Source organism: Homo sapiens, chromosome 9, assembly GCF_000001405.40.
Source record: "Homo sapiens chromosome 9, GRCh38.p14 Primary Assembly".
Lineage (NCBI taxonomy): Eukaryota > Metazoa > Chordata > Mammalia > Primates > Hominidae > Homo > Homo sapiens.
The window spans coordinates 99,907,385-99,920,404 of record NC_000009.12 but is presented as its reverse complement, the minus strand read 5'-3'; the positions used below and the strand labels follow the sequence as shown (position 1 = coordinate 99,920,404).

At 36.6% G+C, this 13,020-nt stretch overlaps 1 protein-coding gene across 5 annotated transcripts in view, besides 1 other annotated feature; it reads right to left on the bottom strand.

Annotated features, from left to right (window-relative positions):
- Nucleotides 1-13,020, bottom strand: part of STX17 (syntaxin 17) — a 67,881-nt gene that overhangs the window by 54,130 nt on the left and 731 nt on the right. For 4 of the 5 annotated variants that reach the window (XM_047423551.1, XM_011518821.4, NM_017919.3 and 1 more), the window contains exon 2: nucleotides 5,043-5,227. In XM_047423551.1, coding sequence (XP_047279507.1) covers nucleotides 5,043-5,165 — 123 coding nt within the window. In that variant the 5' untranslated portion in view covers nucleotides 5,166-5,227. Of the gene's footprint in view, nucleotides 1-5,042; nucleotides 5,228-6,253; nucleotides 8,250-13,020 lie in introns of those variants that run through there. The other variant, XM_011518820.4, reaches the window with a different exon arrangement.
- Nucleotides 3,295-3,905: an enhancer, noted in NCBI's record as "NANOG hESC enhancer chr9:102678782-102679392 (GRCh37/hg19 assembly coordinates)". NCBI's record gives its function as "activates a minimal SCP1, AML or CMV promoter by ChIP-STARR-seq in naive H9 embryonic stem cells {active_cell/tissue: H9 hESC(naive)}" and the evidence as "EXISTENCE:reporter gene assay evidence [ECO:0000049][PMID:30033119]".

Genomic DNA, 13,020 nt, shown 5'->3' with positions numbered 1-13,020 from the left:
TTGTCCTCAGATTTTGTCCCCTAATAGCTGCAAGAGGATTGGTTACAGTTCTAGATACAACAGGAAGACACACAAGACCAAGAAGAAGAAGAGGACTGTTTCCTTCCACGCATATCTGTATATCTTCATAACAGTAGGAAAATCTTTCCAGTTTCCACACCCCAAACAGGTTTTCCCTCAGGTATAACTGGCCAGAACTACAGGATATGTCTATTGTTCACTGGTAACCAAACACTGACAAGATTGGAATTACCACATTTATCAGACCATTATCATTCACCACCTGTGCTGAGGCTTGCCTATCTTGAAACACAAAGGAAGGAAACTGAATGGGGTTCTGTCAGAAAAAAGGAACGAGGTTGGGAAAGGTGATTAAAAGATCAAAGCAGATATTCACACACTAAAAAGAGAAATGAAAAATACTTTCATTGTAATCACAGATTAACAATAAATAAGACTGATTATGTCTGATTTTATACTATATAGTTCAGATTTCATGTTGCTTGAATAGCCCATGCCATCCATTTTCATAGTAATTATATGCTGCCTCTTATCATTTTTTGACTATTTCCTATCTTATTTCCTTAACTGGACTGCAAACTTCTTGAGAATTAAAAATCTATCTTTTACATATTCCTCAATGCTAACAATCTAAGAAATAGCAAACATCAATAAATATTTACGAAAAGCTAACATTTATTTCCTATAATAAATAATCTCCCTTCTCATTAAACCTGGCAGATTCAACACAAATATTCATCTCTACTCTTTTCCAAAATCCCACTAAATGACAACAAAGAACTTTAGAAAGTATAAATTCACAAGAATGAGAATAGAAGACATCAACTGACAAAAAAATTTAACATTTTGCAACACTTTGGAAGCTAGAAAGAGTATGGATATGTTGTAACTGACTCAGCAAACCAAAGAAAGCTAAAATGTAAGCCTGCAAAAGGGGTACATGGTAGGGAAGAGTGGCAATGAGAAGCAAGCCACAGCCAAGCATGGTTGTTCATGTCTGTAATCCTAGCACTTTGAGAGGCCAATGCAGGAGGATCACTTGAGGCCAGCGCTTTGAGATGGGATGGGCCTGGGCAGCATGGTGAGACCTCGTCTCTAAAAAACGACTAAGCAACTGAAGGTACCAGCTACCAGGTAACCAGATGGAAGTGCATGGTGGGGCAAAAAGCAAAAGGATTGGTTGAAAGTTTATGTAATGAACGGGTAGTCCACCAGATCCCCTCTATACTTGCCCGAGTAACTGCCCTGTTCCATCACTGCACAAGACAATACTATAGAAGACAGCCTCTGGAGAGGCTAGAGAAGCTAAGGACACTGGATACCAAGCACAGCTAAGGGCAGGGATCAGTTACCACACCACAACCAGGAAGATTAAGCCTGGACAATAAATATCTGAATGGTGGTGAGCCTGTTCACCTCTTCACCTACTTTCCTTCCCCTGGCTTAAAAGGCTGGTCACAAAATTCATACTATATCCACCCCTCCAAGCTCCTCACCCAACCCCTGCCACAACTATCGCCTTTGAAAAAATAAACACACCCCAACAGGTAGGAGATGGAGGACTGCTCTTTCTTAAAACTGAACAGCTAACAAGACCTAGAGTTACTGACATCTAGTGGTTCTCCAATTAAAATAGATTCTCAGCTATTCACCCCTCCAGACAGCAAAGCCCCCACCCTAACCTGCTACCCACATGCATACACACAAACACATTTACACACATACTTTCCAATCAGCACTCTTAAATATCAAAAGCCAGCCAAGAAAAGCCTATAATACTATATGCTGAAACAGAAGAAAGAGAGAGAGAGAAGAAAGAAAAAAGGGACTTGGGAAAAACAGGACAAAGAAGCAGAAGAAAACTTACAAAAAAAAAAAAACTATAGAAAGATGTTATGATACAGCATCCACGAAATGAAAACAGAATTCTCTTTAAAAGAAAAGGAGAGGCCAGACATGGTTGTTCACATCCGTAATCCTAGCACTTTGAGAGGCCAACACAGGAGGATCACTTGAGGCCAGGGCTTTGAGATGAGATAGGCCTGGGCAGCATAGTGAGACCCCGTCTCTACAAAAATATTTAAAAATTAGCTGAACATGGTAGAGGACACCTGAAGTCTTAGCTATTCAGGAAGCTGAGACAGGAGGATTGCTTTAACTTAGGAGTTTAACATTACAGTGAGCTATGATTGCACCACTGCACTCCAGCCTGGGCAACAGAGTGAGACTCTGTCTCTATTTTAAAAAGAGAGAGAGACAACAAATGCACTGAGAGAAAAAAGAACATAGAAAAGGTATGATTCTGGTTATTCCATCCAAGCTGGAATGTGGATGTGATGGCTGGTGCTGGAGTAGCCATTTTACACACAAGGTAGAACCAAGTTGAGGATGGGAGAGCAAGATAAAAACAGCCTGGGTCTTTGATGATTGCTGAGCAGCCACTGTACCCCAGACTACCTCTGTTACTATGAGATTAAAAACAAAAGCAAAACAAAACAAAAACCTCTATCTTATTTAACATATGATTTTTGAGTTTTCTGCCTCTTGTACCTTATCCATATAACTAATACAGTATGTGCTACACAGTAAGTTTTTCCCCAAATCCCTACAATACGAAACAAAGAAAATTATGTTCCAAGCTTACTATCTTGTCATTCCTACTAACAATGCTTAAGTCTATCTTACATTAGCCAAGAAAGCTGAATGCTAACACTTCAAATTTCAGGATTACATTCTAATCAAGTTTATCATGTATAATAAAATGAAGGACCTATGGAATACAGCTCCAGGTGTCCACAGCACACTATGCTCATTGTTTTCAGATGTTGCAGAATCACTCCACTAAGGCTTACCTTCAATTTCCCTTCAGTCTGACTTTCTTCTTTTAAATTCATATTGGATGACTGATGTCCAGCATAATAAATATTTTATCTTTCTACACCTTTCCCCTAAGAATAATATGCCTTTTTGAAAGTGAGGCACTGTCAGACACCTGGAGTCCAAACTTAGTTCTTAACTCTTTTGTCCAGAGTGAGCCCTGCAGCTTTTAAATGTTTTTACATTTCCATAACATATCTATTAAAATAAGCTATTCAATCCTATATAGATAAAAAAAAGTCACTTTTATAATTAAGCTAGACATCCTAGAGACAGTGGAATGATCAAGGATATGGAATAAAACCTAGATCAGTATAAAATTAACTGTTTGGCTTAAGATGATATCACCTACATTATAATTATTCTGATACTGTCTAAAAATTCCACAGTAAGTAAAAATTTCATAAAATGCTAAAGAAAAAAATGTCTGGCAGAGATGGATGGATGTAACTCTGGAATAATCTTCTTGTGACTTCTGGCACAACTAATAAAATCAGTAATATAACCATTCTATCCCCACCCACCTGGCTTTTCCATTGATGACTGATTGGGTGGTACATGTAGCAAGGATCTGAGGGTACTGACAGCAGGCATTTTTGTATAGAATAAACATAAGAAAAAGGAAATCTAAGACAGACATGCCAAACCTCAAAGGAAAAGTAGGACAACAAAGGAAAGAAATGGCCTTAATTTGCTTCCATTCATGTTAAAAAGAACCCATTTACTAAACAACTCCTTATCCATCCTTAAAAGTCACAGTATTACTTATTGCTTGTAAGTAAAGAAGAAATTCAAGGATGACAAAATACTAATCCTAAATTCTAGAAAGACTTCAAATATTCGCATTAAACTTTTCATTTTAATATTCTCAGAACTGATTTTCTCCACTTTTAAAAGGACTTGAATTCTAGAAAGACAGATGGTATCTATGGAAGAAAAAGGTACACTTTTCTGACTTCTATATGCTACTGAGTTGAGTAATGAATAATGTTTATATTGAAAGGCTTAATGACCATATCCTCCACTCCCAACCTTCAAAAGAATGAATGAATGAATGAATGAATGAATGAATGAATAAATAAATAAATAAATAAATAAATAAATAAATAAATAAATGGAGGTTCTGCAGCTTAAGACTTATGCTGGGAAAAGTCTTTTTGAAACAAAAAATATCACTGGCCTGTCCCACAGCAAATAAGACAACATAATCTGCCAAATTAATGCTCAGTACTGAGTAAACTTGATGTTTCCAAAAATGCCACAGCCACTTCACCGGAGCATGGTAGGTTCTATGCAACCTCTATCATAGTCCCTGAGACTAATTCATCTTCTCCTTACCTATTTCCTCAACTGAATTAGGCAGTACTTCTCAATTGTGAGCTTTCCTCAAAGGGAAGCTGTGAAGTAAGGAAATTCCCTCATATCTCACAATGATTTACTTCTTTAATGTATGTATACCTAAAGAGAATACGAGTTACTGAAAGACACACACTCAAAGTTCAAAAACTTGCCATGGGGTGAATGAAATTAAGGCAGGTACATTAGCCAAAGTTCTCTGCCTTTACATTATAGTGCACCATCAATCAATTTGTATCTTAATTATTAACTGCCTAAAACCTCAATATGTACAATTAAAAAGGTATAGACTTGGCCAGGCGCCACGGCTCACACCTGTAATCCCAACACTTTGGAAGGCAAAACAGGAGGACAGCTTGAGGCCAGGAGTTCAAGACCAGCCTGGGCAACAAAGCAAGAACTTGTTTCTCCAAAAAAATAAAAATAAGTTAGCCACGGATAGTGGTGTGTAGATAGCTTGAGCCCAGAAGTTTGAGGTTGCAGTAGGCTATGATCATGCCACTGCACTCCAGCCTGGGCAACAGAGCAAGACCTTGTCTCTCAAACAAACAAACAAACAAAAAAGCATAGACTCTATTCCTATATCCCTTCCCAGAAAAAGGAATATATGAGAGGTATATATGCAGAACAGAAAAACCAGCTAAAAAATGCATAATGTTGCTAAATCAATAGGAGCTAGGTGTTTCAGCAATGCCTCTTATCTAATATTCTAAATTTAGCTGAAATGAACAACCAATATAAATCAAACTATGTAACTATTTCTTGTGGTAGTAAATGAAACAGCTCACCTTCTCAATATTTATCTGGTGCTTTCTTAACCTTTCCAGGTCTGTTGGGATTACTATCTTAATGAATTTCTGGATAGCTGGTTCAAGACGGCGTAATTTCACTTTTTCTTCATCTTCAGACATCCTAAAAAAATGTTGTATGACCTCCCTGGTAACAGCTGTCTTCTCCACTCATATAGAAAAACCTAAAAGAAAAATATTTCTTTAAGAATGTTTTCAAATCTGTTTCCACTATTTTTAAAAGCCAACGATTAGTTTTACAATTTATTCTAAATCAATAAATAGAATATTTCTAATGCTGACCTTGAGTGACTTGTTTTTTTCTTTATGAAACCACTGATTTTTAAATCTTTTTCTCTTTACAAAAATTATATTTTAGAATGTTCAGACAATATAAATAAATGAAGAATTAAATAAAGTCAGCAGTCATCTCCTCACCTTTTACAAAGAGTACAAAATGTACTCTTTACATTTTGGCATACGTCTCTCCAGGTCTTTTTCTATGTAAGTAGGTATGTATGTATATAAATACTTTTAAAAAAGCTAGGAGTATACTGTCCAAGTTTTCATTTTCTGATCTATCTTGGACATTGAATAACCTTTTTAAAAAAGGTATCAAATGGCTTAACACTGATGCTTGTATCAAACTTCATGTCTAATGTCATCATAATGTAACTTTGTAATTACACAACTTCAAATATATGATAACATAATATGCAACTTTTCTCATTGATGTGCTTTAAACTGCCTCTTCCATTTTCAATAAAGTGATTAGTATTGCCTACAACTGATTCAAAAAACCAGTGACAGAGCTGGAATAAGAACCCAGATTTTCTGAAATTACATTGAAATACTTTTTCCACTTCACCAGTAGTTTCCTACTAGTGTTCCAGAAAGTCCAAGGGTATGCATTTGGGGCCAGAGTACAAGCGTAGGGGCTAGAGGTGAGTAGGTTCCAGGACTCCACTCCCTACTTCAGTTGTAGAAACTTTACTTACAACTATTTTATGAATTGGAGCTTATCAGAGCTTATATAAATAATGGGCTTCACAGCTTAACCAAGCTTGAAAGCCACCATTGTACACCATGCTTTCATGCCATTTCATTAGCCACAACCTCACCCATGTTTAAAAAATTTTAAGTTGAGTATGTTAATACTGCTGAGTTATGCTGTCTTAGTCCAGGGTCTATAAAGATAGGAATTCACATACAGACTTTGTGGAGCCACTGAATCTTTATGAAAAATTGTGAATGAAGGGGCCGGGTACGGTGGCTCATGTCTGTAATACCAGCACTTTGGGAGGCCAAGGCGGGAGGACCACTTGAGCCCAGGAGTTCATGGCCAGCCTGGGCAACATGCCAAAATCCCATCTCTACAAAAAAAAAAAAAGAAAAAAAAAGTGAATATAGTTTATTTTGGAGAATAGAGTCCATTGTTTCAAGGGATTCTCAGAGATCTATCATCCCCAAAACATTAAATATTTATCCCCTTTCTTTCACAGTTGAAAATCTTGATGTGTTGGTTATATAGACTGCCTCCAATACCTACCCATTAGTAACTTGGTTTTTATGTTTGATACAAGGCTCAAAAGTCAAAAAGGAAAATCTCCAGGTACAAAAACAAAGAGGGTAAAACAGGTGCAACAGTGAATGGAAACTGGGGACATATGGAGAAATTCATTACCAAAAGAGACCATCCACAGACCCAACAAAACAGGAAAATTCATACCTAATGGACGAAAGATAATAAAATAATTTTAAAAAGAAACTAAAGTAAGTATATTTTTAAATATCCAAAAACATTCTATTCCAAAAAGGAACAGAATCTTTTAAAAAAATAGATATTATGAAACAGTAAGAGGCCAGCCTGAATATAAAACAAGTAAAACTTCTAGAAATGAAAATCTCAAAAGATGTGTTAAACAGTAAATTATATAGATAAGAAACAATTATTGATTGGAAGAAATCACTCAGAACACAGAGGAATAAAAAGATGAAAAGTATAAAAAAGAAGATAAAAGACATAAAGGATAAAATCAGAAGCTTAATAACAAGTAGAAGTCCCAGAAAGAAAGAACAAAGAAAACAGTAAGAAGGAATTATTCAAAGAGAATATACTGATAATTAAAATGTAAGACCTCAAACTGAAAAAGCACATCAGCCTCAAGTAGCATACATTAAAAAGAAACCAAATTTGCCTAAATACATGGAAGGGAAATTGCAAAACATTAAAGAACAAGAATCATTAAAAAAATGAGACATAAAAGACTGACAAAGCAATAATATATTGCTTTTAAAAGCAAGATATTAAAAGACAGAAATACCTTCAAAGTGCTGAGAGAGTTGGTATATTCCCAGGTAAATTATCATTTAAAATGAAAGCAAAATAATCATTTTCAGACATACAAGGACTAAGAGAGTTTATTACCAAGCCCCTCATTAAAAGTACTTAAAGGAATATTTCAACAATAAAGAAAATAAACCCAAAGGAGTGGAATAGCAAGGAGCAATGAATAGAATAAACTGTTAACGGATAGAATAAATGGGTGGATGAAAGAACAAAGAAAATAAAACATTTATTTTGAATAGTGTGATGAAGTATAATAAAAATGTTTCCATGTAAATAATTTTCTATAATTACGTAGATGCTTCACAATTTTACAAATTGGCTATTATTGGCTATTTAGGTTGTTTCTAATTTTCCACTATTATAAACTACAGTGTAATTACCCTGCTTACACATAAATCCATACTGCTGCCTATAATTATTTCTTTAAAACAATCAACAAAGACACAACCTGTATAAAGGGAGAAAATATTTGCCAACTAGTCATCCAACAAGGGACTAATATCTAGAATGTATGAGAAACTCAAACAACTCAACAGCAAAGAAACAAATAGTTCCATTAAAAAGTGGGCAAAGAATCTGAATAGACATTTCTCAAAAGAAGACATACAAATGACCAAAAGGTATTTTTTTTAATGCTCAACATCATTAATCATCAGGGAAATGCAAATAAAAACCACAATGAGATACCATCTCACCCCAGTTACAATAGCTATCACCAAACGGATAAAAAATAACAAATGCTGGTGAGGATGTAGCAAAAGAGGCCTCTTTTTTTTTTTTTCTTTTTAGATAGATTTTCGCTCTTGTCACCCAGGCTGGAGTGCAGTGGCACGAGCTCAGCTTACTGCAACCTCTGCCTCCCGGGTTCAAGCAGTTCTCCTGCCTCAGCCTCCTGAGTAGCTGGGATTACAGGCACATGCCACCACGCCCAGCTAATTTTTTGTTTTTAGTAGAGACGGGATTTTGCCATGTTGGCCAAGCTGGTCTCGAACTCCTGACCTCAGGTGATCCACCTGCCTCGGCCTCCCAAAGTGCCGGGATTACAGGCGTGAGCCACGACGCCTGGCGAGAAAGAGGACTCTTATACACTGTTGGTGGGAATGTAAATTAGTACAGCCATTATGAAAAACAGTATGGGCTGGGTACGCTGGCTCATAGCTGTAATTCCAGCACTTTGGAAGGCTGAAGCAGGAGGATCACTTGAGGCCAAGAGTTTGAGGGCAGCCTGGGCAACATAGCAAGATCCTTCTTCTCTGAAAAATTTAAAAATTAGCTGGGTGTGGTGGTGGGTGCCTGTAGTCCCAGTGACACCAAGGTGGGAAGATCCCTTGAGCCCTAAAGTGTGAGCCTGCAAGAAACAGTGTTCTTACTACTACACTACAGCCTAGGCAACACAGTGAGATCCTGTCTCAAAAAAAGAAAGAAAAACTGTACAGAGGCTTCTCAAAAAATTAAAAATAAAACTACCATATGATCCAGCAATCCCACTACTGGGTATTTATCCAAAGGAAAAAAAATCAGTATATCAAAGAGATACCTACAGCCCCATGTTTATTGCAGCAGCATTCACAATAGCCAAGATATGGAATCAACCTAAGTGTCTGTCAATGGATGACTGGATAAAGAAAATGTGGTGTATATACACAATGAAATACCGTTCAGCCATTAAAAAAAAGAATGGGTCAGGCGCGATGGCTCATGCCTATAATCCCAGCACTTTGGGAGGTGGAGGCGGGCCGATCAGGTCAGGAGATCGAGACCATCCTGGCTAACATGGTGAAACCCCGTCTCTACTAAAAAATACAAAAAATTAGCCAGGCGTGGTGGCATGCACCTGTATTCCCAGCTGCTCCGGAGGCTGAGGCAGGAGAATCGCTTGAACCCAGGAGGCGGAGGTTGCGGTGAACCCAGATCTCACCACTGCACTCCAGCTTGGGCAACAGAGCGAGACTCCGTCTAGGGAGAAAAAAAAAAAAAAGAATGAAATCCTGTCATTTACAACAACATGGATGGAACATCTAGCCTGTACTCCCAGCTACTCAGGAAGCCGAGGTAGGAGGATCACTTGAGCCCAGAAATTAGAAGCCAGCCTGGGCAATATAATGAGACCTCCATTTCTAAATAAAAAGGGGGAAAAAAGTTGATCTCCTGGAGGTAGAGAGTAGAGTGATGGGAAGGGGCAGGAGGGGTGAAGAGAAGTTGATTAATGGGTACAAACATACAGTTAGATAGAAGGAATACATTATTCATGTTTAATAACACAGTGAGGTAGCTATAGTTAACAATAATTTATTGCATATTTCAAAATAGCTAGAAGATCTGAAGTGCTCCTAACACAAAGAAATAATAAATGTTTGACATGATATATATCCCAAATACCCTGATTTGATCATTACACATTGTATGTATGTATCAAAACATCACATGTATCCTATAAATATGTAAAATTATTGTGTATTAATTGAAAAAAGTAACATAAAAATAAAAAATAAATATCTAGAAATAGAATTATTAGGTAGACAGATTTTTCAAGGTTTTTAAAACATATATATAGCCATATCCCACAAAAGGTTATGCCTATTATGTTCCTACCAGAAACATAACACAATGTCCATTTATCCATATTCCAAGCAATATACTTAGTATTATCATTCTTAGACATGTCATTGGTGAAAAAAATGATGTCTCATTATTGCTTTACTTTGCATTCCTTAAATTACTAACAGGGTGGATTTATCAGCCATTTGCATTTCTTTTTTTTTTTTCTTTTTTTTTGTTTTGAGACGGAGTCTCACTCTTTTGCCCAGGCTGGAGTGAAGTGGTGCGATCTCAGCTCACTGCAACCTCCGCCCCTTAGGTTCAAGTGACTCTCCTGCCTCAGCCTCCCAAGTAGCTGGGATTACAGGCACGTGCCACCACGCCCAGCTAATTTTTGTATTTTTAGTAGAGACGGGGTTTCACCATGTTGGCCAGGCTGGTCTCGAACTCCCGACCTCAGGTGATCCACCTGCCTCGGCCTCCCAAAGTGCTAGGATTACAAGTGTGAGGCACCATGCCCAGCTGCATTTCTTCTTTTTTTAATTTTTAATTTTTGTGGGTATATATTAGTAGTAGGTATATATTTATGGGATATTTGAGTTATTTTGATACAGGCATACAATGTGTAATAATCACATTAGGGTAAATGAGGTATCCATCACCTCAAGCATTTATTCTTTGTGTTGCAAACAATCCAGTTATACTCTTTTAGTTATTTTTAAATATACAATTGAATTATTATAGTCACCCTGTTCGGCTATCAAGTACTATATTTTATTCATCCTCTATCACTATTTTTTTGTACTCATTGCATTTCTTCTTTCATGAATTGCCTGTTCATGTCATATGCATCTGTTTTTACTACAGGGGATGTCTTTCTCTTATTAACTCATAAAAGGCTATTACATGTTAAATGTATCAATTATTTGTCTAACATTAACATTTCCCAATCTATCACACTGCCTCTTTTCTTTTCTTCTATACCACAAAGAGATTATCTTTATATCTACCATCATTCCTATCAAAATGTTTTTTGAACACACCTGTTGTTCAATAGATGCTGCCTGAACTAAAATATTTCTTCACACGTCCCTTCTATACAATTGCTAATCCTATCACTCTAGTCAAATAGCACAATATGCATAGCCATGATAATGGAGCTTCAATTAGTCTACCTTTAGACTCTTTCCCTCCAAAATGGAATATAAACTATAAAAACATAAACTGTATTATAAACGAATAGCATAACCACACTGAAAGAAGTGAGGAAGAAAAATTATCTAAGCCACTTTAGAAAACAATATTTTAACTGAATACTATAAGCCTAGAGACAAAAAGAACTACACTGTACTCTATTTAGTAAATGTGTTTCTCACAGGAACATAGGTCAGAAATCCTGAAATTACTTTATGTGTATACTAGGACTGAAGAAATAAGAAAATATTTTGTAGAATGCCAAGAGTCAGATTTCTCACTGTCAGATAAAAAGTTAAAAATAAGGGACAAAACTAGAATGAACCCTGTGGTGTTAGACTAGAAGCAAAGCTACTGGGATGAACTTTTGTTTTTAAAAAGTATATGGATAGACAAATACAGAAATAAACATAGATCTTTGTGTATGCATGGGTATGCATATGTATAGACTGGTGTCTTCTGTGGGGCCCTGGAAGCAATGTTACCCCAGTAGCAATGAGCATCCCTAGAGCACAGATCTTTGTGTTTAAATACTATTCTCCAAAAAAAGAAACTACGGGTCGTTGGAGAAGTGGCTGACTATCAGGGCTGAGGCACAGAAAACACAAGATGAGCCTGGGGCATCCTATGGTACCAGAAAATTAGGAAGTTCCAAAAAAGAAAAAAAAGGATGGAAGCATGCTGAAAAGCTACAGAAAGCAACCTGAAAGAAAACTCCCAATGATCAAAGCTGGAACAATTTCAAACATAAAATAACACAAGTGTAGGATAACAACCAATAGAAAAACATCTAAGTCCACATGGATACAAATAAATAACGGAATACAAATAAACAAATGGGAAATGGGCAGCTCATCCTTACAGAATAATTTCAATTAATAAAGAAATGAGGAAAGTAGAAAATCATCATTAGAACACCATAGTCATAATAATTGCTGAAGGCAAGATCCACCAATGGATGTGAAATTTAGCAAGGGAAAGTCTGAGGAGAAACAGGATATGCGTACGGTTTAAAAGCTCCCCCCCAAGATGTCAATTATAAGGAGAAAAATAAGACCTTTACATTGGAGAATCCCAGCAGACACTCTCTACCAAGTGATCAAGATTAACCTCACGAGCAATAAGTCATATATATCAGCTATGCTCATATGATGAACTGAGAAGGGCACACACACTTTTGTGTTCTTAACAAAAATGTATAACCTTAATCTAATCATGAGAGAACACTGGACAAACCCCATTTGAGGGGCACTCTACAAAATAACTGACCAGCATTCTTCAAAAGTGTAAAGATCAGAAAGAGTATAAAGACAGAAAAAGACTATCAGTGTAAAGACAGGAAAAGACAGAGGAACTGTCACAGACTGGAGGAGACCAAGGACCCAAGACAACTAACTGCAATGTCGGGTCTTAGAGTGGATCCTAGAATAGAAAAAGGACATTAATACAGGAAAAAAAATCACAAGTTAGTAATTCAGTTAATAGTATTATACTAATATTAACTTCTTGCTTTTGATAATTGCGCTATGGTATGTAAAAAATTATTAATGGAGGCAATAGGGAACTCTGTATTACTTTTGAAACTTTTCTGTAATTTTAAAATTATTTCAAAATAAAAAAGTTTTTTAGTATAAGAGGATGTTTCACGTAAGACAGGTAAAAACATTTAGAAGTCAAAGAACTGCCATCGTATTCACTGCATTAATACTTGGAGAGAGGGGTGCCAGGACTGTGCCAGGTGCTTTACAAACTTTATCATGTAGTGCTTACAACTAATATGAGATGGGTACCATAATACTCATGTTTCCCAGTAAGTTACTTAGGAGGTTATTAATAAGTGAAAGACCCCATTTCTCAGGAAACCCAGCCCCCAAAAGTGACGAACACCTTCCATCG